Here is a 25,703-nt window from a genome sequence, read left to right as displayed (position 1 = left end):
TATTTTACCTGGTGTAAATATAACTACCCCTGCTCTCTTTTACTTACCATTTGCACGACATACCTTTTTCCACCCCTTAACTTTTAGCTTGTGTGTGACCTTAAATATGAAATGATGTGGTTTGGCTCTGTGTCTCCACCCAAATCTCATTTCAAATTGTAATCCCCATATGTTGAGGGAAGGTTATTGGATCATGAGGGCAGTTCCGCCATGTTGTTGTCATTGATAGTAAGTGAGTTCTCATGAGATCTGATGGTTTTATAAGGGGCTATTCCCCCTTCACTCTCTCTCTCTCTCAGCTACCGCCATGTAACATGTGCCTGTTTCCCCTTCCACCATGACGGTAAGTTTCCTGAGGCCTCCCCATCCATGAGGAACTATGAGTCAATTAAACCTCTTTTTTAAATATATAAATTACTCAGTCTCAGGTATTCTCTACAGCAGTGTGAAAATGGGATAATATAGTAAATTGGTACTGGTAGAGTGGTGTACTGCTATAAAGAAACTTCGAAATGTAGAAGCAACTTTAGAACTCAGTAGTGGGCAGAGGAATAGTTTGGAAGGCTCAGAAGAAGACAGGAAGATGTGAGAGAGTTTAGAACTTCCTAGAGACTTGTTGAATGGTTTTGACCAAAATACTGATAGTAATGCTGACAATGAAGTCTAGGTTGAGGTGATCTCAGATAGAGATGAGGAACTTCTTGGGAACTGGAGTCAAGATCACTCTTGCTACACTTTAGAAAGAGACTGGTGGGATTTTGCCCCTGCCCTAGAGATCTGTGGAACTTTGAACTTGAGAGATATTATTTGAAATTGGGACTTAATGTTTTAAAAGAAGAAGCACAACATAAAAGTTTAGCAAATTGGAAGCCTGACTATGTGATAGAAAAGAAAAACCCATTTGCTGAAAAGAAATTCAAGCCAGCTGCAGAATTTTGCATAAGTAACAAGGAGTCAAATGTTAATCACCAAGACAATGTGGAACATTTTTCCAAGGAATGTCATAGATAGACCTTCATGGCAGCCCCTCTCCTCACAGGCCTGGAGGCCTAAGAGAGAAAAATAATTATGTGGGCCTGGCACAGGGCCCCACTGTTTTGAGTAGCTTCAGGACTTGGTGCCCTGTGACTCAGCTGCTCCAGCTCCAGCCCCGGTAAAAGGGGCCAACATATAGCTCAGGCTGTTGTTTCAGAGGGTGCAAACCCTAAGCCTTGACAGGTTACATGTGATATTTGGCAGGTGCACAGAAGACAAGAATTGGGTGGGTATATTTACCAAATGCCTGTACCCCCATTGTATCTAGGAAGTAACTAACTTGCTTTTGATTTTATAAGCTCATAGGTGGAAGGGACTTGCCTTGTCTCACATGAGACTTTGGACTGTGGACTTTTGAGTTAGTGCTGAAATGAGTTAAGACTTTGGGGGACTGTTGGGAAGGCATGATTGGTTTTGAAATGTGAAAAGATGAGATTTGGGAGGGGCCAAAGTGAAATAATATGGTTTGGCTCTGTGTCCCCACTCAAATCTCATCTCAAATTGTAATCCCCACATGTCAAAATATGGAGGTGACTAGATTATGGGGTGGTTTCCTCCATGCTGCTCTCATGATAGTGAGTGAGATCTCACGAGATCTGATTGTTTGTATTTTTTTGGAAGGTTCTCCTTCTCTCCTCTATCCTGCCACTTTGTGAAGAAGGTGCTTGCTTCTCCTTCACCTTCCACCATGATTGTAAGTTTCCTGAGGCCTCCCCAGCCATGTGGAACTGTGAGTCAATTAAACCTCTTTCCTTTATAAATTAGGCAGTCTCAGGTATTTCTTTATAGCAGTGTGAAAACGGACTAATACATGAAGTGAGTTTCTTATAGACAGCATATTGTTGAATCTTGTTTTTGAATTCATTTAGCCAATCTATGTCTTTTGATTGTATAATTTAATCAATTTACATTTAAATAATTATTGATATAAAAGTATTTACTATTGCCTTTTGTTTGTTGCTTTCTGTTTTTCTGTTAGTCTTGTTTGTCTTTATTTATATCTGTGGATTTTCTTAGTTGATATTACTTGATTCTTTTCTTTTTTCTTTTCTGTAACTTCTGTAGTTTGTTTGTTTACCTGAAGGTTTACATAAAATATTATATAATAGTCTATTTTAAGCTTATAACAACATAAATTTAACCACATACAAAACCCTATATGTTAACTACCATACCACCTTATGTTATAGTCATAATTTACATCTATTTATATTGTATATCTCTTAACATTTTTAGTTATGCTTATTTTGAACACATTTAACTGTTATTCTGTAATAAAAAGTGATTTAACTACCTGTATTTGTCTATATATTTACCTTCACCAAAACTGTCATATTTTCTTATGCCATTGCATTTCTGTTTCGCATTCTGTATTACTCAGGGTTCTCTTAGAGAGACAGAACTAGTAGGATATATATGTGTATATATATCTATATCTATATATATAGATATATATGTGTGTATCTATATCTATATCTATATATAGATATATATGTGTGTATCTATATCTATATCTATATATAGATATATATGTGTGTATCTATATCTATATATAGATATATATGTGTGTATATATCTATGTCTATATATAGATATATGTGTGTATCTATATCTATATATAGAGATATATATGTGTGTATCTATATCTATATCTATATCTATATGAGAGTTTATTAAGTATTAACTAACACAATCACAAGGTCCCACAATAGGCTGTCTGCAAGCTTGGGGAGCAAGGAGAGCTAGTCTGAGTCCCAAAACTGAAGAACTCGGAGTCCGATATTCAAGGACAGAAAGCATTCAGGATGAGAGAAAGATGTAGGCTGGAAGGCTAGGCCCTTCTTTCTTTCATGTTTTTTCTGCCTGCTTTTTATTCACTGGCAACTGGTTAGATTGTTCCCATCATATTAAGGGTGGAGCTGCTTTCCCCAGTTCACTGACTCAAATGTTAATCTCTTTTGGCAACACCCAAACAGACACACCCAGGATGAATATCCTTTGACACTCAGTATTAACCATCAGAAGTCCACTTCTTGTCAACTTGAACCCATACACATCTCCTGAGATCATACATAATCTTCAAATAAAGACAAAAATAGGGTAATAATTATGCCTAACATAACACAACTGTCCTTCGGACAACTGGAAACACACCAATCCCCAACCCAAATACTATTTCATAAAGTTAACAATACTTAAATGCTGATATGAAGTCAATAAATCTTATGTCACATAATAAAGGAGAAAGGAAATAAAATGAAGTTATTTTCTTAGTACAAGTGTATACATGCACAAACATGTTTTTAAGAAAAGAAGGAGGAAATACTCATGACAATTACAGTCCTCATTTCTGCAGCAGGTCATGTGGTCATAGCTGGTATTGATGACTACCTTCTTCTTCTACCCATTCTGTATTCCCTTTGCCTTCAGCAAGCACCTCAGCAGATCATGTTTTTTTTCCTGGTGGAGTGACCATAACCTTCATTCCTGAAAGGGTTTGGGTCATTTGTAGTCCTGCCTGGATTGGGATGTTGTAGGTTCCCATTAGCCTTAATCACAGGGCATGGTAATACTAAGAGACACCCTAATAAATCTCCTGTATTCCATGCGTACTCCTCCTTACCTCCATTATGGAGTACTAGACTGATTTCATCTTGATAGTCTGGGTCAATCACCCCAGCCAACAGCATAACTCCCTGCTTAAACTCTTGACATAAAGGTAGGAGGAGCCCAAAGTGTCCCAGCGTTAGATCTGACATACAGAGAAGAGCAATTACAGGACTCTTCAAAAATGCAGGTGCTATTTTGCAAGGTATTGCTCAAGGATTTGTCTTCTGGAGCTTCCCAGCTGGGATGAGTAGGTCTAAAGTGACTAATCCTCTCCATCATCCCAATCTCCCTAAGCCTTTGGATCCCTTCCTCTACATTAAACCAAGGGAGATCAGGCATTTCCAGATCATTCACAGTGGGCCATCTTTTAATCTGTATTTCAGCTACCCAAGCAAATAAACTGTTAGAACCTTTTTTAATGCCCTGAGCTGCAACATTGAAAGCAGAGTCCCTATTGAGTGGGCCAAAATCAATAAATTCAGCCTGATACACAACTCTATGTTCCTTCCACCATTATCTGATACCCTTAATATCCATTCCCATGCCTGTTCTCCAGATTGCTGTTTATATAAATTAGAAAACTCAAACAGTTCTTTTTGAGTGTAGTGCACCCACTCATGGGTCACACTCCCAACTTCACCTCTAGGGACCCGCCAGGACTTTAATCTAGTTATATTCTAGTAGCAAACAGGGGTGTTGGGGGTGGCTCCTGAGGAGAATCAACACTATTTTGCCTGGCAACTGCCTCAGGGGAGGCCATCACTGTTGCCTCAGGCAGCATAGGGTTTATCTCTTCAGACAAAGGTGGAAAGACTGATAGCAGTATGGGTCAGGGAGCAGATATTGCCAGTACTGGGGATGGGGAAGCTGTTCTTTCTGGCATAAAAAAGGTTCATCAGAGTTTACAAACTCAACGTCTCCAGCTTTGTCAGGGTCCCCCTACATGTCCATGTTCCAAATTGTAGGGTACCATTCTTTCCCAATCAATGCCTTCACTTTAACAGTAGACACTGGGCAAGGCTCTGCATGCACCTTTTATTGCAGGTCAGCCACTCACATAAGTGCTTATGTCTGTTTTTCCACAATTTCAGCTCTTTCTCTACAGGAGACAAGACTCTCATTCAGGGCAACCTTGGCAGATTTGAGGCTCATTATCTGCTTCTGAAGCCAGGAGACAGAATCCCTGAGTTCATCATTGTCTTTCATCACTTGTCCACTGAACTTAAGAGCAAACAACAAGCTTTATTATTTTCCTTGGTTCTCCACATATGGTCAAAGGTATTACTCACAGAGTCACTAAACTTGCCTCTCACAAATGGTGAATCAGGAATGTCAAATGCATTTATTTTGCATAACTCTTCGAACAGTTCACACCAAGGACTATCAGTGCTCTCCATACTACTAGAAGTAGAGTCCTTAGCATTTTTGGGGTCTAATCATATTAAGCAGCCAACTCCAGCAACCCCCAAACCAATGAAGGAACTCCATCCTTAATATTCTGTTCCTCTAGAACACTCCTGGTACCAAAATCTGTATTAGTCAGGGTTCTGTTAGAGGGACAGAACTAATAGCATGTATATATGCTATATAGCATATGTATGTTTATATATGGGAGTTCACTAAGTATTTACTTACATGATCACAAGTTTCCACAATAGGCTGTCTGCAAGCTTGAGGAGCAAGGAGAGAGCCAGTCTGAGTCTCAAAACTGAAGAACACTGGAGTCAGATGTTCAAGGGCAGGAAGCATTCAGCAAGGGAGAAAGATGTAGGCTGGGAGGCTAGGCCTGTCTCTCGTTTTCATGTTTTTCTGCCTGCTGTATATTTGCTGGCAGCTGATTAGCTTGTGCCAACAAGGTTAATGGTCGACCTTCCTTCCCCAGCCCACTGACTCAATGTTAATCTCCTTTGGCAACACCCTCACAAACATGCTCAGGATCAATAGTTTGTATTCTTCAATCTGATTAAGTTGACACTCAGTATCAACCATCACACATCCTTTCATTTCAACTTGAAGAACTTGCTTTCACATTTCTGCATTATGAGCCCAGTGGTGATAAATTACCTCAGCTTTTGTTTGTCTAGAAAAGTCCGTATCTCTTTTTCATTTTTGAAGGAGATTTTTGTTGGACTTAGTGTTCTTGATTGGCAGTTGTTTTTCTTCAATACTTTTAATATACCATTCCACTCCCTTCTGGCCTGCAAGGTATCTGCTAAAAAAAAAATCTAGTGATAGTCTTATGAAGTTTGTCATGTATGTGAAAAGTGTCTTCTCTGCTGCTTTCAAAATTCTTTGTTTTCTGAAAATTTGATTACAATGTGTTTCATTATAATATAATGTAATAAATATAATATAATGTTTGGTTTTCATCTTATTTGGTATGCTTCAGGCTTCTTGGATCAAAATATTTATTCCTTCCCCAGATTTGAGATGTTTTCAACCATTACTACACTCAGTAAGCTTTCTGGTCCTTCTCTCTCTGGGATGCCCATAATGCATATATTGGTCTGCTTGACATTTTCTATAACTCCCTTGATATAGCTTGGCTGTTGCCCCACCCAAATCTCATCTTGAATTTTAGCTCCTATAATTCCCATGTGTTGTGAGAGGGATCTGGTGGGAGATAATTGAATCATGAGGGGTGGTTTCCTCCATACTGTTCTGATAGTAGTGAGTAAGTTTCAGGAGATCTGGTGGTTTTATAAGGGGAAATCCCTTTTGCTTGATTCTCATTCTCTCTTGCCTGCTGCCATGTAAGACACGCTTTTCACCCTCTGCCATCATTGTGAAGCCTCCCCATCCTTATGGAACCGTGAGTCCATAAATCTCTTTTTCTTTATAAATTACCCAGTCTTGGGTATGTCTTTATCAGTAGCATGAAAATGGACTACTACACCCCTTAACATTTATTTATTATTTTTAGTTTATTTTTCCTTTTTGTTCTACTGACTGAATTATTTCTAGTGACCTGTATCTGAGTTTGCTGATCCTTTCTTCAACTTGATTTAGTCTGTTGTTGAATCCTTCTAGTGAATTTTTTGTTCAGTTATTGTTTTCGTCAGCTTTACGATTACTGTTTGATACTTTTATATTTTCTATCTCTTTATTGAGTGCACTTCATTCATGCACTCTTCTCTTTACCTTGATGAGCACCTTTATGAGAGTAATTTTTCATTCTCTGTTTGGTAAATGATATAACTCCATTTTATTAGGATTGATTCCTGGAGATTCATCTTATTCCTTTATTTGGAACATCTTTGCCTGATTTTTCATTTTCCTTGACAGTCTGTGTTGATGTCTGCACTTTAGATAAAGACTTCTCCCATTCTTCATTGACTGGCCTCATACAGGAAAAGACCCCTATCAATCAGCTTAGTCAGAGATTCTGGGGGCCTCTATCAATTCTTTCCCTCCCCAGGCAGAAGGCAGGTGGCTGTGGTTTTTGTTTGTTCTTTCTGTGCTGAGCCAAGAATGGGAGCTCTGGCATCTATTCTTCTCCAGGCAGCTAACCCATGCTGGACCTGTCAGAACTCCAAAAATAGTGAGACAGATGTTAATTCCTTGGAAAGCATTAGATGCATGAATCAACATTTTTACTGTCTAGGGAGAAGCTGAGAAATTATATTTTTTAATCTTCTCACTCTGTGCTGAGCAGTCAGAAGCGCTGATAGTGCCTACCAGCCCAAGCCACTGCTGCCCTTCTCTCCTAGGCAGCTTGACTGTGATGAACTCATCAGGGTTGTGAGGCTGAAAAGACAGAATCCAGTCATCTGGGAAGTCCCTTAAAAAAAGTTGGGACACTGAATGAGTGAACAAATCTGTTCCTTCCCCTCTGTGAAGGTGGGTGCTAGGGAGACTTTTCCTGATCATATGTGCTTACCCCAGGGTCAAAGTTTTCAGTGAGTTTCCCAAATCTCTCTACGTGCTTCAATGAATTGATTTTACATCCTCTCTGGGTATTTGAGCCTTTCAACAGTTTCCAAGTTCTCACAAAGGGAGTTTGCCCATGAGTTGTTTCTCAGTTGGTGTTTGTCAAGGGAAAGATGGTCTAGGGCTTCCTACTTTGTCATGTTGCAGTTATTACTCCTACCATGCCTTCTTATCTATGGTGTTTTCTTCACATAGATTGACACTCAAGAGATGGTTTGGATGAATAAATTCATGAGTGAACAGACATTTTTAGAGAAGGATAGTTAGAAAAAGAGGTTTTTACTCCGTAGAATAATGTATACAATCTTACTTCTAGGTAACACAAACAAACACACAAAAGATATAAAGAATATATTTTTATGGTGGCATTATCTGCTAAACAATTTTCCCCTTTAATCCTTAACAATCAACAATTTAATTTCATTTTTACATAGGTAGATTTTGTTTTTTAATATAATATGTGATTTTGAAATAGTAGCTTAGCAATTGGTATTTTTTTTCTCCTATCACAGAGGGCCAGGGAGAATGCTAAAAGCTCTAGATGGCATAAGCTATTTAAAAGACAAATTATGGGCTCTCTGAATGCAGTCATGCACTTACTGGATACCTTACTAAGGGAGTGTCTGCCCTTATACAATGCGGTTTAAAGCAATGATAATAATGGTTGCAATGGTGGTGGTGATAATGGCAGTGATCCCAATGTTGATGATAATTACAGCCAATACAGCTAATTATCTGCATTGAATGCCTGTGTATGAGACTTTTAAAACACATTATTTCATTTAGTTATTGTAACATCCTTTTTTACTTATTTGTTGTTGCTCCATTTATTAACAAGGAATTTGCATTAAGTACAATAGTAAATTGACTATTATCCCACAGTTTATAGTTGGAGAAGTTGGTCTGAAACCCAGGTCTTTCTGAATTATACACAACACTCTATTGGCAATCAAACCAACAAGCTAAGTAAAAATTGAAAAATAATCAGAATCAAACTGTTAAATGTCATCAGCATGTTTGTGTTGCATTAATTAACTTTTAAAATTTTATTTTATCTGCACATGCAATTTTATATAAATGCATTTTGAATGTGATCATATAAATTTTTCTTTTTTTGTGCCTTGTGTATGAAGACTTTTTCATATTTTTTTCCTGGTTCAGTACTGCAGTCTCGTCCTTTGTCATACTTTTTTCACACCAGGCAACCTATGTTACAACTCAATATGTATCCTTTCATGTTTTTCTTCATGCTCATGTAAGAATGTGTATATACACATAAATATATACATATAATATACATGTGTATGTACACATCAATATATACATATATGTAAGAGATAGTCTTTTTAAAACAATTGTGTTTTTTATAAAAGTGTCATATTATACTCACTTTTCCTTAACTTACTGTTCTCAATTGGCAATACTTACATCTTATTAAAATCCCTGAAATGTAATTTTCACAACTCTATATTTAATGCATGTGATAGTTTTCATAGACTATAGTTGATTCAATTATTTAATTGTTAATGTATATTCACTTTGTTTCTAGTTTTATGGAATTATGAACTATGCTTTTTTCCCTCCTATTTTTTATTGAGGTAAAACGTGCATCTATATAATTTATCAGCCTTACCAGGTTTAAGTGTACAGTTCATTGGTAATAAATACATTGAAATGATGCTTTAATAGATATATTTATTTGAATATTCTTATTCACCTGTATTAATTCTGTCACCGTGCAATTATCTTACCAAAAATGTTGTGACAATTCACATTTCCACCAGGGATATATGAAATTGCCTATCATTCTGTTTCTCACATACATCATTATTCTTACAACAACATGTACTACCAAACAATTTTTAAAATCTGATACTTTAGAAATGGTATATTGTTGTTACTTTAATTTATAGTACATTAGTAGGGGGTTGGGACAGCCTAGTATGTATTTATTGGCCACTGGAATTTTCTCATCTTTGAATTTGTTTTTAAAAATCTTTGCTCATTTATCTATAGGGATTTTTCCCCCAGCTTCAGAATTAATATCACCTTTATGACTATTCACTCTGCAAGAGAGAATTTTCCACAAAATTTATTTGTATTTAATACATTTGATAAGTACCTTTTTTGTATAACTTAATATTTTTTTCTAAAAAATCTAATTTATACTTTCTGACTTTTTACTTAATCACAGAAATTTCCTGTTTCTAGAATATATTATCAGGACCTTAGATTTTCTTGCTAACTTTGTTATTGTTTTATCTTCTCTAGACCAGCAATGTCTGAAACGTAATGCTAGCCACAAATGTGAACCATATATGAAATTTTAAATTTCATGTCAAATGTATTTTTTAATGTAAAAAGAAACTAATAAAATTAAATTCAATAATATATTTTATAAGCCTAACATATTTGAAATGTTATTGTTTCCAACACAGTCCTTATAAAAATTATAAATTAGGTATGTATCTTTTTTTCTTTTTTTTATTTTATAATTATTATACTTTAAGTTTTAGGGTACATGTGCACAATGTGCAGGTTAGTTACATATGTATACATGTGCCATGCTGGTGTGCTGCACCCATTAACTTGTCATTTAGCATTAGGTATATCTCCTAATGCTATCCCTCCCCCCTCCCCCCACCCCGCAACAGTCCCCAGAGTGTGATGTTCCCCTTCCTGTGTCCATGTGTTCTCATTGTTCAATTCTCACCTATGAGTGAGAACATGCGGTGTTTGTTTTTTTGTTGTTGTGATAGTTTACTGAGAATGATGATTTCCAATTTCATCCATGTCCCTACAAAGAACATGAGCTCATCATTTTTTATGGCTGCATAGTATTCCATGGTGTATATGTGCCACATTTTCTTAATCCAGTCTATCATTGTTGGACATTTGGGTTGGTTCCAAGTCTTTGCTATAGTGAATAGTGCCACAATAAACATATGTGTGCATGTGTATTTATAGCAGCATGATTTTATAGTCCTTTGGGTATATACCCAGTAATGGGATGGCTGGGTCAAATGGTATGTATCATTTTTTTCAAACTGAGCATTTAAAATGTCATTTGCATTTTAGAAAACACATCTCAATTTGCTTTTCCTCAATAGCCTCATATGGCTATTGTAATTTAGTTAACCAATATGCATACATGGCTACTGGTTACTGTGTGGGAAAGTGCATGTCTAGAATATTTTTTTTTTTTTGTGGCAAAGATGACTATAACTTATTTCCTTTTAATTTACTGACCTTTGTAATATTTTTACATATTATCTATTCTTTTTGACAGATCTATTTTTAAGTTCTTATGTCAGGAACATTGATTTGAATATAATAGTTTTAAAGTATATTGTGATGATAGATAAGATAAGCACCCCCTTATTAGTCTTTTTTATCCAAGTTTTCTTGGGTACATTTGTTTGTATATATATTACATTATATTTTCTTATATTTTATGTGTATTCATTGTAATTACACACAAGTAATTTAAATTTTGGAAATTGTATAGAAAAATAACATTTTTATACTTACCTTCTATCCAGTAACTTTGCAAAATTTATTTATTAGTTCTAGTATATTTTTTGTAAATTCCCTGATATTTTTACCTAGATGACCATGTTTTATATGAAAGAATTTTTTCTTCTTCTTGTAAAATCTGTATGTCTTTCAATTATTTTTCTTGTCATATTGTGCTTGCTAGAACCACTACTATAATGTCAAATAGAAGAGATAGGAGAAAACATTCTTGTTTTGTTCTTCATACAAGAAGGAAAGCATTAAGTCTTTTACTGTAAGTACGATATTTCATAAATGCCCTTTATCAGGTTAAGAAAATTTTTATTCTTTTTTTGCTATACATTTTATTAGGAGTGGATATTACATTTTCTCAAATGTTCTTTCTGTATCTATTAAGGTGATATGAATTGTATTTTTAAAGTTTCAAATGTAGTGAATTTTACTGATTAATTTTTTCCATGTTAAATCACCCTCTCTTTCCTGAGATAAATCCAATTAATGGTTTTGAAGAGCTAGTATGTTTTAGAGATGAGTTCAAGTTAAAAAAATTTAAAAATCTTAATACCTGACTTGGAACTAAACACAGTGTAGAGAACATAATTACACAGATGCACTACATGCTAAGTGTATGCTATATAAATTATTGCAAATATGTCAAAATGAAATAACTCATCTTAAAGAAATGTTTCTCCAGTATAGTCTCACCCATCATATACATTGACTCAAGACAGGAAATGTTTTTCTTACATCAGCAATCTAAGTCAATAGGAATAGCTCTATTATACTGCCAAGTATAATTCTATATAGACCTAATATTTTTTAACCTTACATTCTCAGTCAAATGCTGGTTTGTCATATTTCATAGACATTAAAGATTTTCCCCTAAGAAAATGTTTGCCTACAACCCTAAAAATAAATAGCAAATTAAGAAAAATGTACCCTAAAAAAACTTCTTACCTTTAATTAAAGACAAACCTCACAAATCATGAAAAGTCAAGAAATAAACAGTTTTCCAAAAGGCCCTGGAAAATATACCAACTAATCCTGATTAATGTCATTAAAGTTAACATGGAATACATGAGATTTTATGCACTCTGCATGTATGGCAAAAGATTTTCCTCTTTCCAGAAACATTTCAAATTGTGTGAGTTTTATCCTATACTAGGAGGTTACTTCCACAAGCTCATTAAAAATTAAGGAATAGACAGTGCCATTTTTCAGTGCGATGACTGACATTGCAATTTCTTATCAGTGAAAATTACTTCAGCATCTGAGAATACAACCTCAAAATGTTTATGAGCCAATGTGGAACAAAAGTTAGATTAAGAGAAGTTATATTTATAAAGGATTGCCTGAAGGATAAACAATTCATGCATCTCTCTAGGAAATCTCAAGTTTAGTTTCTGGATAACTCTTAAAGCCAGAAAGCTGCACAATTTGACTACATTTTTTCACCCTATAAATTATTGCTTTTACTTTGGCATTCATGTAAAAAAAAGTCTTACTGTAATTTCTATTGTAGGGATATAGTTGAGGTCACTTATTTAAATAATGGTACACAGAAGATTTTTGTCTCAGACCATTTCTAGTAAGTTTAATTATACTGAATAACTAACATTTTGTCTGTTTGTTTTAAGGGACATGCTAGTCTTATAAAGCATAGTTCTCTCTTGCTTTGGCAATTGGTACCATTAAAGTCAAATTTCTTGCCGACTTTGAATTATTAAGCATAGCTCAATGGCTTGCCATTCTGTGCATAGCACACTTTGAATTAATTTCATGATTTTTCTGTTATTATCTTTTCCCTCTGATTATTTCACCATCATGTTATTTTCATTTCATGCTTTTTGATAAATATCTTCAATTTTTTTAAATGAAACAATTTGTTAATATGAAAAATGCTTCAGAATACTTGGAGTTTTAGGGACATGGATAAAGCTGGAAACCATCATTCTCAGCAAACTAACACAGGAACAGAAGACCAAACACCACATGTTCTCACTCATAAGTGGGAGTTGAACAATGAGAACACATGGATGCAAGGAGGGGAATATCACACACCAGGGCCTGTCAGCGGGTGGGGAACTAGGGGAGGGATAGCATTAGGAAAAATACCTAATGTAGATGACGGGTTGATGGGTGCAGCAAACCACCATGGCACGTGTATACCTATGTAACAAACCTGCCCATTCTGCACATGTATACCCGAACTTAAAGTATAGTAAAAACAAAACAATACAAAACAAAATTCTACACATAGACAAACTTTAAAAGTCAAAGAACAACCATAAAGGCACAAAACTAATAAATTTTTATGGTGGTCAAGAAAAGGGGACAGACACAGAGAATGGAAGTCTTCTTTGCCAGGTACTACTAAATTGTTTTCCTTGGTGAACAAATAAGAAGTATGGTACAGAGAGACGTGAAATGGAAGAAAACTGAAAGTAAGCTGTACCCAAACAATTTGCCTAGATTTTATTCTGCTGCTTCAAAAGTAAAAATAGCAACGCAACCTGGGTTTTCCCCACACAAAAATCTTTACATTACCTCCATTTTAAGAAGAATGATGGTAAATATATAGTTGCCTAAAAGGATATAGAAATTCAAAGCATTTGTTCAAAATTAGTTGTTAATATATTGAGCTGCTCTTCTCAAACATCAGAACTTTGGAGAGTGTGACCATGACTACGTCCAATGATAGAATTGTTTTAAAATGCAAGAAAATAAAACAATTCAACAATCAAATACCTTGTACCTTTTGTATAGCTTGTGGTTCAAAGCACATTGTAAGATCAACTCAGATATGATTTCTTGGTATACTTAAGTCAGTTTAATAATTTATAATTAAAATTTAGATATCTTGTATGTTCACATATCATCATCAATTCAACATCATGTAATTCTCATTGGTTGCTATATTGGTTATCTATTGCCATGTAAATGTATACAACAGACCACTTGGTGGCATATGAGAAGTGACACTTAAACTCACGTGGCTGTAAGGTTTAGCTAATTTGGGCCAGACTCACTCATGAGTCTGCATCAGCTGCAGGTCATCTGAACAGCTTTACTATTATTATATGGACTCACAGACACAAATATATATTAAAAATCGTCTCGTTGTTAGCTGATCTATGATGGCCTTGGCAGAAAGGACTTCAGTGAGCCAGCACAACTCCATGTATCTTTTATTGTCTAGCAGTCTAGCCCTGGCATGTTCAACAATGGCATAGATGCAAAAGAAGCCAAGCCCAATTGGGAAAGCATCTTTCAAACCTCATTTTGGTCACATTTGCTGATTTCCTACTAACCAAAGCAAGCTACGTGGCCAAAGTTAAAGTCATAGTAAAAGGACACTACAAAGTTATGTGGGGAAGAAAACAGATATAGAGGAGGGTGAAAAATGAGGGCCATTTTGCAATGGTTGCACCATAGAGTTTTATTCTAGCTACTTTACAGGACTGGTGGATGATACAGTCCATGGTCTCATAGGATTCATCGTTCCAGTAATACATAATTTGCTAATTAATATTTACCACGGAAGAAGAATTTCCTGACTCTATTATTGCTTACAGAAATGAGTATCGCCTACGTTTCCCTCTTTCTTTTTTCATGCAGGAATTTGAAGGGCGTGATTTTTTTTTGGCTCTCTTTTTATGAAGTGACTTGAAGTATTAGCTGACATTGTTTAATGACAAGTATAGAATAATGTTCTCTTGCATTCAGGAATGTTACAAGGAGATAAAGTGAAAATGAAATGACAAAAGAAATGAGCCAGAAAATAAGACCTCTAGATAACTAAAATTCAGTGCCCAAACCAAACAAGTGAAAATCTTTTAGGTGATTATATAAATTCAGCTTATTATACATTTTAAAAGAAAACAATTTTGAGGTTACTTATCACCACAGGCAGCTGCTAGACCTCCAAATGGAATTTCCTAATGAGGATAGCAACAAATCTGTTTTGTTATTTCGAAGATACTTTGTATTTGCCTGGCCAGCAACCAACACTGACCAGCAGCTGCTCTCTATTCTGCAGCCACCTGGTCTTATTGCTGACATTTGAGTTTGGAAGGAATACGTGCTTCTTTCTGGATACTCCAGATATTACCCCTTGTTTAGCCTGTTACTGGCTTCTGGATTGACCCTACTAGAAAATGGCAAAATCTCCCTGGTGTTTCTATAGGGCAAAATAAAGAGCTTGGAGGCTCCCATTGAGGAGACTAAGGTGCCATTCCACTTTTTTTCTTCTGTGCTTGCCTCTACACGGTTGAGGTTTAGAAACTTAAGTCTGCATTTCCAAGACCTTTTTACTTTCAGGATTCTTGATATGATGTGGTTTGCCCAGTTAGATTGGAATGTTAAAGGAAGCAAGAGTCATATTTCTGCAACTGCTGCTGTGACTGCTGCAAAACATGGTTAAGAAAACTCTGAGATTTTCTGCAGCTAAGTTAGCAGAAATTTCAGTGAACAGTCATCAGGTTTGTAAATTGAGAGGCAGAGTGTGGTATTGAAGTATTGACTTCGTGATTCCTGGATGGAAGCCAAGGCATTTGAGGACGTACTAGTTCCTGGGAGTAAGCTCCCACTTCCTCATCTTCTCTGCTGAAGTAGGGGTAGCAGCTCTCCTGGTAGGCTAGATTTGTAGTTTTGTTTTGAGCCTCATTCAGAGAGGGCTAGCCTCCTTGCCTTCCAGTGATTTTTGTAAGACTTTAATTCCCTTCATTAAATGCTATTCTGCTTAAAATACCTAGGTTTCTTCCTGTTATCTGCAACTGAATCCTGATAGATAACAGTCGTTCTCAAACCTGAGACATAGAGTTAGTTACATCCTTGCCTGGCTGCTAGAAATTAAATGTAAATTTGCTGAGAATGATGGTTTCCAGTTTCATCCATGTCCCTACAAAGGACATGAACTCATCGTTTGTTATAGCTGCATAGTATTCCATGGTGTATATGTGCCACATTTTCTTAATCCAGTCTATCGTTGTTGGACATTTAGGTTGGTTCCAAGTCTTTGCTATTGTGAATAGTGCCGCTATAAACATACGTGTGCATGTGTCTTTATAGCAGCATGATTTATAATCCTTTAGTTATATACCCAGTAATGGGATGGCTGGGTCAAATGGTATTTCTAGTTCTAGATCCCTGAGGAATCACCACACTGACTTCCACAATGGTTGAACTAGTTTACAGTCCCACCAACAGTGCAAAAGTGTTCTTATTTCTCCACATCCTCTCCAGCACCTGTTGTTTCCTGACCTTTTAATGATTGCCATTCTAACTGGTGTGAGATGGTATCATTGTGGTTTTGATTTGCATTTCTCTGATGACCAGTGATGATGAGCATTTTTTCATGTGTTTTTTGTCTGCATAAATGTCTTCTTTTGAGAAGTGTCTGTTCATATCCTTCACCCACTTTTTGATGGGGTTGTTAAACACCTCATGTTCTCACTCATAGGTAGGAACTGAACAATGAGAACACATGGACACAGGAAGGGGAACATCACACACTGGGGACTGTTGTGGGGTGGGGGTGGGGATAGCATTAGGAGATATACCTAATGCTAAATGATGAATTAATGGGTGCAGCACACCAACATGGCACATGTATACATATGTAAGAAACCTGCACGTTGTACACATGTACCCTAAAACTTAAAGTATAATAATAATAAAATTAAAAAAAAAAAGAAATCTTGCCTGTTCTAGAGATGTGTTACGCAGCAATGTGAGCATAGTTAACACTGCTGAACTGTACACTTAAAAATTGTTAAGGGTAAATTTTATATATTTTTTCTATACATTTTTTAAAAAGAAATTTTGCCTGCAATGATAAACTAATGTTATAAATACTGTTATAAAAGTCAAGCAATATGCAGCTTATCTTCTATGGAGAAAAAATTCTATATTGGTTAACATTTATTGAATAAAGTTCTTTACTCTTTAGCAAAAAAAAAAGAAATTAAATGTAAAATATAGTGTCGTGCTATTGCTTCACTTGTTTTGTTTTCATTTTATTTATTACTCTTCAAAATTATAAAATATTTCAAGTACATAGAAACAATGTGAAAAGTATTATAACAGTTCTTTGAGTAGTCAATGCACAATAGATCAAATGTTGACATTTTTGTATGTTTGCTTCCAATCTTGTTTTTTGACTAAAATATTACAGGTATATCTAAATCCCTCCACAATCTCATTCCTTTTAATCCTAACTCAGAGGTACCCAAAGTCTTATAGTGCTTTGTATATATGTCCCATGTATATTTTTATGATATAACTCTATGTATTTATGAACTCATACCAATATGTAGTAGTTTTTTGTATTTTTATGCTTTACATACATGGTTTCATATTGCATAAATCACACACATTTCACTAGTTATTTCAATCAGTGTTATATTACTAATATTTTTCTATTTTTATGTATGTAGGTCCATTTCATGTATTTTAACTTATGTATGATTTTCATTGGCTGATTATACCATTTCAAACCTGAGGTTGTTTCCAAGGATTGATTTTCCAGTAACATCTCAAAATCAATATACTAATAATTAAATTTGTAATTTCTCCTGACCCTTCACAATAGCTTTTATAATTGACCTCCTTGGTTTGGCCAGTGGTATTTACACCCCCAAATTTTTCCGCTTCAAATCTTTAGGATCATGTTGATACATTATTTTCATTATTGAGCATTTGATTGAATACTTGCTCTTTGTCAGCCTTTGAGTTTGCTAAAATGTCTTCTCCTAAGAGAGACATTCCTGAAGTTGTCTCCTGACCCCATGGATTACCTTACTCCAGCAACATGCTCCTCCTTCCTTTAGGATATTTATCATTTATCATAGTGTATAATCAATATTGGCTCACATTCTGTTTTGCTTGTTGTCTGTCTTCTACAATAAACTATAAGCTCTGTAAAATCTGAGACCAGGTCATTGTACCCAGAACTAGCATTAGAGCATGATAGAATCTCAGTAGATATTTGTTAGATAGTTAGAGAGATGTGATGTGCAGCCCATTGCATCCTAAATTCAACCTGTCACATTCTAAGGATTTTTTTTTCAAAACATCAATAATGTAAATATGAGCACATGACATTTAGAAGCAAAAGAAATATAAAAATCAGCAAATGCTTTCAGAGCTTAGCACATTGCCTGGTTGATATTAGATGTTTAAAGTTATAATCATTGAAATGGCAAATATTTTATGCATGTAAAATGTTCCTTTTATTTTTACCTTAGGATAAATGACCCATAATAAGATTACCTTATCAAATATGTCACTATTTAGTTGTACGTAGTAGCTGGAGATATTCACATAAGTAATTTTCTACTAGTAGCATGATTTTTTGAAAAAATTATTATATAAAATTTCATATAATTTCAAATATGTAGAAGAAGAATTAAAAATACAGACATCTGTGTACTCACCACTGAGATTAAACAGATGTTAACATTTTGCCATACGTTCATTAAATCTATCTTTACAAATAGGAAGGAAAATGTTACAGATACAGCTAAATCCCTACCTTCTTCTGTTTCCTTTCCTCCCCACCAGTAACCAGTATCTTAAAGTTATTGTATGTCTTTCCTGTGTATGTCATGTCATGTATTTAAAAATAATATAACTATGTTTTATGTATGTATGCCCTGGGGCCCTTATTTAAGAAAAAAAGTACACAATTACAAAAATAAAATGAGATGCAAGAATATTTGTTTAGAATAAGAAATCATAACACATTTAAAAATGTAAATAGGTGATAAATGCCACAAGCATCAAAAATATACAAGCAAAATCTAATATTTTAAAGTTTCCAAACCTACCTCTGTAATACATTTTTCTGTATATTTGTGACCACATAGCCTTTGATTACCTCTTCCTGTGACATTCTTAAATATTAATTCCTATGGTGGGATTAGAAAAAAATGTTTTCCCTCTAGCATGGATGAACTAAATTTGTTTTCAATTATTGATAACTGTATGCATTAACCTTACTACTTCATATGTGAGCTTTCTTGTTATAGTGTTGATAGAGGTGCATGCCCAACACACACAGGGATTGAGGAGAAAGAAACTCTTGCATTGCTGGTTTGAGGTCATAGCATTGCTGGAGTCAGGAGCAGCTGCCCAGGCAGAAAGAGACTGTCCTCCCGCAGGAAGGTAGCACATGCTTATCTTACTTCCTACTTATCCTGTTAAGAGACATAAATGTAAATATTGCACTAATCAAGTTTGTGTATCATCAATAATTTCTCTCTATATGGCCTACCCTTCAGCATTTTAAAACTAAAGATTTTATATACCACCTGGAGTTAATACTCAGAATGAAAACTTCCTCCCTGGAAAGTGGCATATGTAATTGAAACTTCCCAGAACTAAAGGTTCACTAGCAACATCCTAAATCTGCCTTCATTTGTGTGTATTCATATTTTACATAAATAGATTCGTCTGTATATTTTTAAAACCTTAGTGGCTCATTCAACTTTGTTTTGAGATTACTTGTGTTGACACATGTAGATATAATCTGTTCATTTTAATTGCTAAGTATTGCATTGTACTAATCAACAACATTTAATTATTCTCTTCTTTTTCTAAGGAGCATTTAAAGTTTTTATGCTGGGTTGTTTTTGGTATTATAAATAGTGCTGCAGAAAACATTCTTCTACATGGATCCTGGAACATGTGTGTGGCGCTGCCTCCAAGGTAGCCAGTCAATTGCAGAGAAACTCTGGGTTATGGAATGTGCCCCCTTAAGCAAATTGCTAAACAAAAGACTCTAAAATTTTATATTCTGCTAATAATATGAGCCCCTGCTACATTTTCATTATACCTAATGTTCCCATAGTTGATAATTTTGATAGTCAGTTGGATGTGAGAGAGATTCTTACTGTTGTTTTCACTGGCATTCAACTATTTACTAATGATATTGAACATTTAGTGTATTTATGCTTATGTCCATGATGATTTCCTCAACTGTGAATTGCCTGTTTGCATCCTTGGATTAATTTTATTGGATTTGCTTTGTTTTTATTTTTATTTAGAACTGCCCATTGCATTTTCTAATTACAATTCTTTATTTGTTATATGTGATATAAGTATCTTCTTCCTGTCTTTGACTTGTCGTCTTTGTTTGTTTCTAATATAGTTTGTCCTGCAGAGGATTTCATTAAATGTAGTAAAATATATTAACCTTTTATGAGTTCTTTTCAAGTGTATGTAAACCTTCTTTATTCTACCATAAAAATATAGTTTCATGCTTATTTTCTTTAAAAAATAGAGTTTTATTTCTTATATTGTACTTTTTTTTTTTTTTTTTTTTTTGATGAAGTCTCGCTCTGTCATCTAGGCTGGAGTGCAGTGGCACGATCTCAGCTCACTGCAACCTCTGCCTCCCAGGTTCAAGCGATTCTCCTGCCTCAGCCTCCTGAGTAGCCGGAACTGTAGACACATGCCATCATGTCTGACTAATTTTTGTATTTTTAGTAAAGACAAAGTTTCACCGTGTTGGCAAGGCTGGTCTCAACCTCCTGACCTCAAGTGACCCGCCTGCCTCGGCCTCCCAAAGTGCTGGGATTACAGGCATGAGCCACCACACCCAGCCTTATATTGTACTTACAATCCATTTGGAACCAATTTGGGAGTATTATATGAAATAAGGAATATTTTCTGCATAATTAGAGCCCTATTTACTTGATATACCTTCCTTTTGCCACTGATTTGTAAGGCCAGTTTGTTAGTTCGTTTTATCAGAATTGAAATCCTGTCTTTATCCTTACTAAGCATTATGATCTTAAGCAAGTTGTTTAACCTCTGGCATACACAGCTACAAATAATGCACACATCATAGGGACTTTGTGAAAATTAAATGAGTTAGCAGGCATAAAATTTTCAGATGAGTTCTTGACATCTAAAAAACCCAAAACAGCACCTCAGCAAATTACACTCTTCTTTCCCTGCCCCATTTCATGATATGTTGATAGCTGAAAGAGTAAAGGTGGCAACCAAAACATTACCTTTATTATTAAAGATGAGTTAAAGAGCATAGTTTATAAGAGCAAACTAGGATGCCCATATATGGTGAACCTCAGAGTTGGGCAGACATATTGACTTAGTCACAGACAAGACAGAATAGGGTAGGCTTCATATATGGAAGGCTTGTATGTATAAGAATTACATATTGCTCAGATTTTCTTTGAAAATTTTGCATGTATGTTAAGAAATTGTATCGATCTGTTCATTTCTTGTACTGTCTTTGTCAAATATTGGCATATATATTACACTGCTTATTTTTCTTTCTTCCCCCTTCCTGGAAATTGCATAAAATAACAATTATTTTTATATTAGAAGTTGGTAAAACTTGCTTATAAAACTACCTAGACTTAAATCCCCCTACCCACTCACTCACCAACTAGGATTTTATTTGTGTGTATGTGTAGATTTTATTCTATCTTCATTCTCTTTAATGATTATAAGACTATCCAGTTCTACTTTTTGAGTGAGTTTTAGTAAATCACATTTTTCCCAGAACGTTTTCATTTTATTTAAATTTTTAACTTTATTGCAAGAAAATCATGCATAGTATTTTCTTATGATATTTTGAAGTCTTTAGTATATCAGGGAATATTTTCTCTTTTTTATTTCTAATAGCATGGGGATGTGTGTGTTGATGTGTTGTGTGTGCTTTTGTGGGTGCTTCCTTTCTTTATTTCCTGGATAATCTCACCAAAATTTGTTTCATTTATTAGTCTTCTCAAAGTGTCAAATATTGGGGTTTGTTGATCTCTTCTTTTTGCCTTTTTCTATTGTATTTTACTGACAGCTCTGTCTGGCTTTTATTTTCTTATTTTTTATTTTTCTTGTTGGATGCTTATTTCTTATTTATCAATATTTCTTCTTTGCCAAAATCAATATTTAAGGATACATATTTTTCTCCAGTGTGATTTTTAGCTTCATCTCAATCAATTTGATATATAGTGTTTCAAAGGTATTTAATTCTAAATATAATTAAATTTTCTTTACATTTTCTGTTTATCCCATGATTTAAAGAATGTTATTTTTAGTTAGATTTTTGTAATTCATTTTATTGTAAGTGGTTATGTAATATGACTTGTTTTATACTTGTTTTACAATTTTTGAGACTTTTTCTGCTGTATCCTAGTACATGTTCACTTTGAAGAAAAATCCTATGATTACATGAAACTGAAATACATCTTCTATTAGTTATAAAGTTTTATATACTCAAATATATATTATTCTAACTTGTTAATTGTATCATAAAAATTTTATTTATTCCTTCACTAAAGAAATACTGAGTCACTCCTCTGAGCCAGTCATTTTTTTCTAAGCACTGAGTTTGCAGCAGTGAAAAATATAGGCAACTTTCTATTTTTATGGAGCTTACATTTTAGTAGGGGGAGACAGTAAAAAAAAAAAAGTAAATATATGTGATGTCTGATGGTAATAAAAGATATGGAAAAATTAAAACTGAAAGGGCTGGGGTTAGGAGTGGTTATTTTTATGAGAAAAATGTATTTTCAAGTAGGAGGAAGAACAAGTGTAATGGCCTTGAGGAAGGGATTCTCTGGTTAGAGAGGAGCGAGCAAAGATGAACTTGGTAGAACATGAGGTCAGTGAGTTAGCAGGTGGCCAGATCAAGTGTAGACATCAAATTGATGAGGAGGAACTACCAAATGAGACTTGGAAGGAGTAGGCAGTGAGGAAGCAGGTCTGGGGTGGATGCTGTCTATGTTGGGTACTCAGAATTTATCTTAGGATTTTTCTTATGCCATCACTTCGTTGTATCCTTTTTCTTGAATTCCATTTTGCCTCTTTCTTTTTTGCCAAGCTTTAGTCAGCAGAGCATTCTTTTTTCTAAGAAAGGATATATGGAAGGTTATTCTTTCAAGATGCATCACACTTGACAGTTTAATTGGAAAAAGACCTTTAACATAAAGCTTTCACTCATTTTTAATAGACTTTTTTTTTTTTTTTTGAGACGGAGTCTAGCTCTGTAGCACAGGCTGGAGTGCAGTGGCGCGATCTCGGCTCACTGCAAGCTCTGCCTCCTGGGTTCACGCCATTCTCCTGCCTCAGCCTTCCGAGTAGCTGGGACTACAGGTGCCTGCCACCACGCCCGGCTAATTTTTTGTATTTTTACTAGAGACGGGTTTTGCCGTGTTAGCCAGGATGGTCTCGATCTCCTGACCTCGTGATCTGCCCGCCTCGGCCTTCCAAAGTGCTGGGATTACAGGCGTGAGCCACCGAGCCCGGCCTTTAATAGACATTTTTAGAGTAGTTTTAGACTTACAGAAATATTGAGGAAGGTAATTCAGAGTTCCCATAGACCCTCTATATTCAGTTTTGTCCATTGCCATCTTACATTTGGATGGTACATTTTTAAAGTAATAAGCCAATATTGATATATTATTACTATCTAAAGTCCATAGTTTATTCACGTTTCCTTAGTTTTTAAGCTAATGTCTTTTTCTGTTCCAGGATTCCATCCAAGATATCAAATCACATTCACTTATCTTGTCTCCTTAGGAACTTCATGGTTATGACAGTGTCTCAAACTTGCTTTGTTTTGATGACCTTGATAGTTTTGGGGAGTACTGCTCAGCTATTTTGTAGGATGTTCCTCTATTAAAATTTGTCTGATGCGTTTCTCCTCATTAGAATGGGATTATGGTTTTCTGGGAGGAAGGCCAAAAAGGTATGATTTGTATCACAATACATCAAGGGCACATGCTATCACCATGATTTTTCTCCATTAATACTGACCATAATCATTTAAATGAGGGAGCATTTGTCAAGTTTGTTCACTAGAAAGTTGCCCTTTTTTTCCCTCTTACCGTATTGTTCTCTTTGAAAGGAAGTTACAATGCAAGACCTACATCTAAGGACTACAGATTTATGCTGCCCCTCCTGAAGGCTGAGATACATAATTATTTAGAATATTTCTTTTTTTTAAATTGTCAACTTTTATTTTAGATACAGGGGGTACATATGCAGGTTTGGTACACAGGTATATTGCCCACAGGTAGTGCATAGTACCCAATAGGTAGTTTTTCTAGCCTTCTCCTCTTCTGTCCCCAGCAGGCTGCAGTGTCCATTGTTCTCCTGTTTATGTTCATGTATGCTCAATGTTTAGCTTCCACTTATAAATGAGAACATACAGCATTTGGTTTTCTGTTATACTGCAGTTAATATGCTCTTGATTATGGTCTTCGGCTCCAATCGAGTTGCTGCAAAGGACATGATTTTATTCTTTTTAATGGCTGCATAATATTCCATGGCCTATATGTACCACATTCTCTTTATCCAATCCACCATTGATGGGCTCCTAGGTTGATTCCCTATCTTTGCTATTTTGAATAGCATGGTGATGAACAGATGAGTGCATGTGTATTTTAGGCATAGTGATCTATTTTCTTTTAAACATATACTCACTAATGGGATTGCTTGGTCAAATCGTATCTCTGTTTTAAGTTTTTTGAGAAATCTCCAAACTGCTTTCCACAGTGACTGAAGTAATTTACGTTCCCACCAAGAGTTTATAAATATTCCCCTTTCTCCACAGCCTCATCAGCATCTGTTGTTTTTTGACTTTTTAGTAATAACTATTTAGACCAGTGTAAGACAGTATCTCATTGTGGTTTTAACTTACATTTCTCTGATGATATAATGATGATGGGGAGTTTTTCATTTATTTTTTGGCCACTCGTATGTCTTCTTCTGAAAAGTGTCTATTCATATCCTTTGCCCCTTTTTAATGGGGTTATTTGATTATTGCTTCTTGAATTAAGGTCCTCATAGATTCTGGATATTAGACCTTTGTTGGATGCATAGTTGGCAAACATTTTCTCCCATGTTATAAACAGACAACCTACAGAATGGAAATTTTTCTATAAGAGACATCTGACTCCTCTCCCCAGTTCTTTTATTTATTCAATCATTTATTTATGTGAGTATGGGCTCATTAATATTTATTTTATGCTTTGGCATATAATTCGATACTATTTTCTTTTATGGCTCAAATTATTCCAGCTTTAGCTATTGGGATCTTTCAATTGACTTTTGTGTCACTTTAACATATATCCATTAATGTGTCTTTTGTTTGTGTTTTCATTTTTAGCACTTTCTTACTTTGTGGCACTACAAGACACTCTAAGCTCATCTCATACACTTCCTGATCCAATCGTAGGTCAACCTTATTTCTTCTTGGGAAGATATTAAAAACCATGATGTGGTTGTGAGTTGCAACCATGATACTAGGGCCACCCGTCATTTTTATAATTAGTTAAATTGATAGAGACCAGAAATGAGTCTATTTAAAGTATTTTGTCCTCCGTTTCTCCTTCTTGCTTCTTATTATATATGATTTAGAAAGTAGAGAAATGTGTACACATGTACACATTTATATATATGTAAATGGCTCAAATGAATATATAATTATATGTATATTCTTTTTTATTACTTTTAAGTAATATACATTTTTCTGTCATTAAATGCCTTTTATAAACATTTTTTATAATTACTACATGTTATATGATGCAGAACATATATTTAATTATAATTCTAAAGTAAAATATTTAGGTATCCTCAAT

General features: G+C 35.0%; 1 long non-coding RNA gene across 1 annotated transcript in view, besides 1 other annotated feature; it reads left to right on the top strand.

The window, feature by feature from the left end:
* LINC02505 (long intergenic non-protein coding RNA 2505) overlaps positions 1 to 25,703 on the top strand; it is a 145,364-nt gene that overhangs the window by 24,718 nt on the left and 94,943 nt on the right. The window contains exon 2 of the long non-coding RNA NR_149124.1: positions 1,657 to 1,729. This is a non-coding gene — a long non-coding RNA (long intergenic non-protein coding RNA 2505). The remainder of the gene's footprint in view (positions 1 to 1,656; positions 1,730 to 25,703) is intronic.
* Positions 3,729 to 3,929: a silencer, noted in NCBI's record as "peak5020 fragment used in MPRA reporter construct". NCBI's record gives its function as "represses an SCP1 promoter by STARR-seq MPRAs in K562 erythroleukemia cells {active_cell/tissue: K562}" and the evidence as "EXISTENCE:reporter gene assay evidence [ECO:0000049][PMID:32103011]".

The sequence above is a fragment of the Homo sapiens genome, chromosome 4 (assembly GCF_000001405.40).
Source record: "Homo sapiens chromosome 4, GRCh38.p14 Primary Assembly".
Classification (NCBI taxonomy): domain Eukaryota; kingdom Metazoa; phylum Chordata; class Mammalia; order Primates; family Hominidae; genus Homo; species Homo sapiens.
Note: the sequence above shows the minus strand (reverse complement) of the source record. Positions and strands in the feature narration are given on the sequence as shown.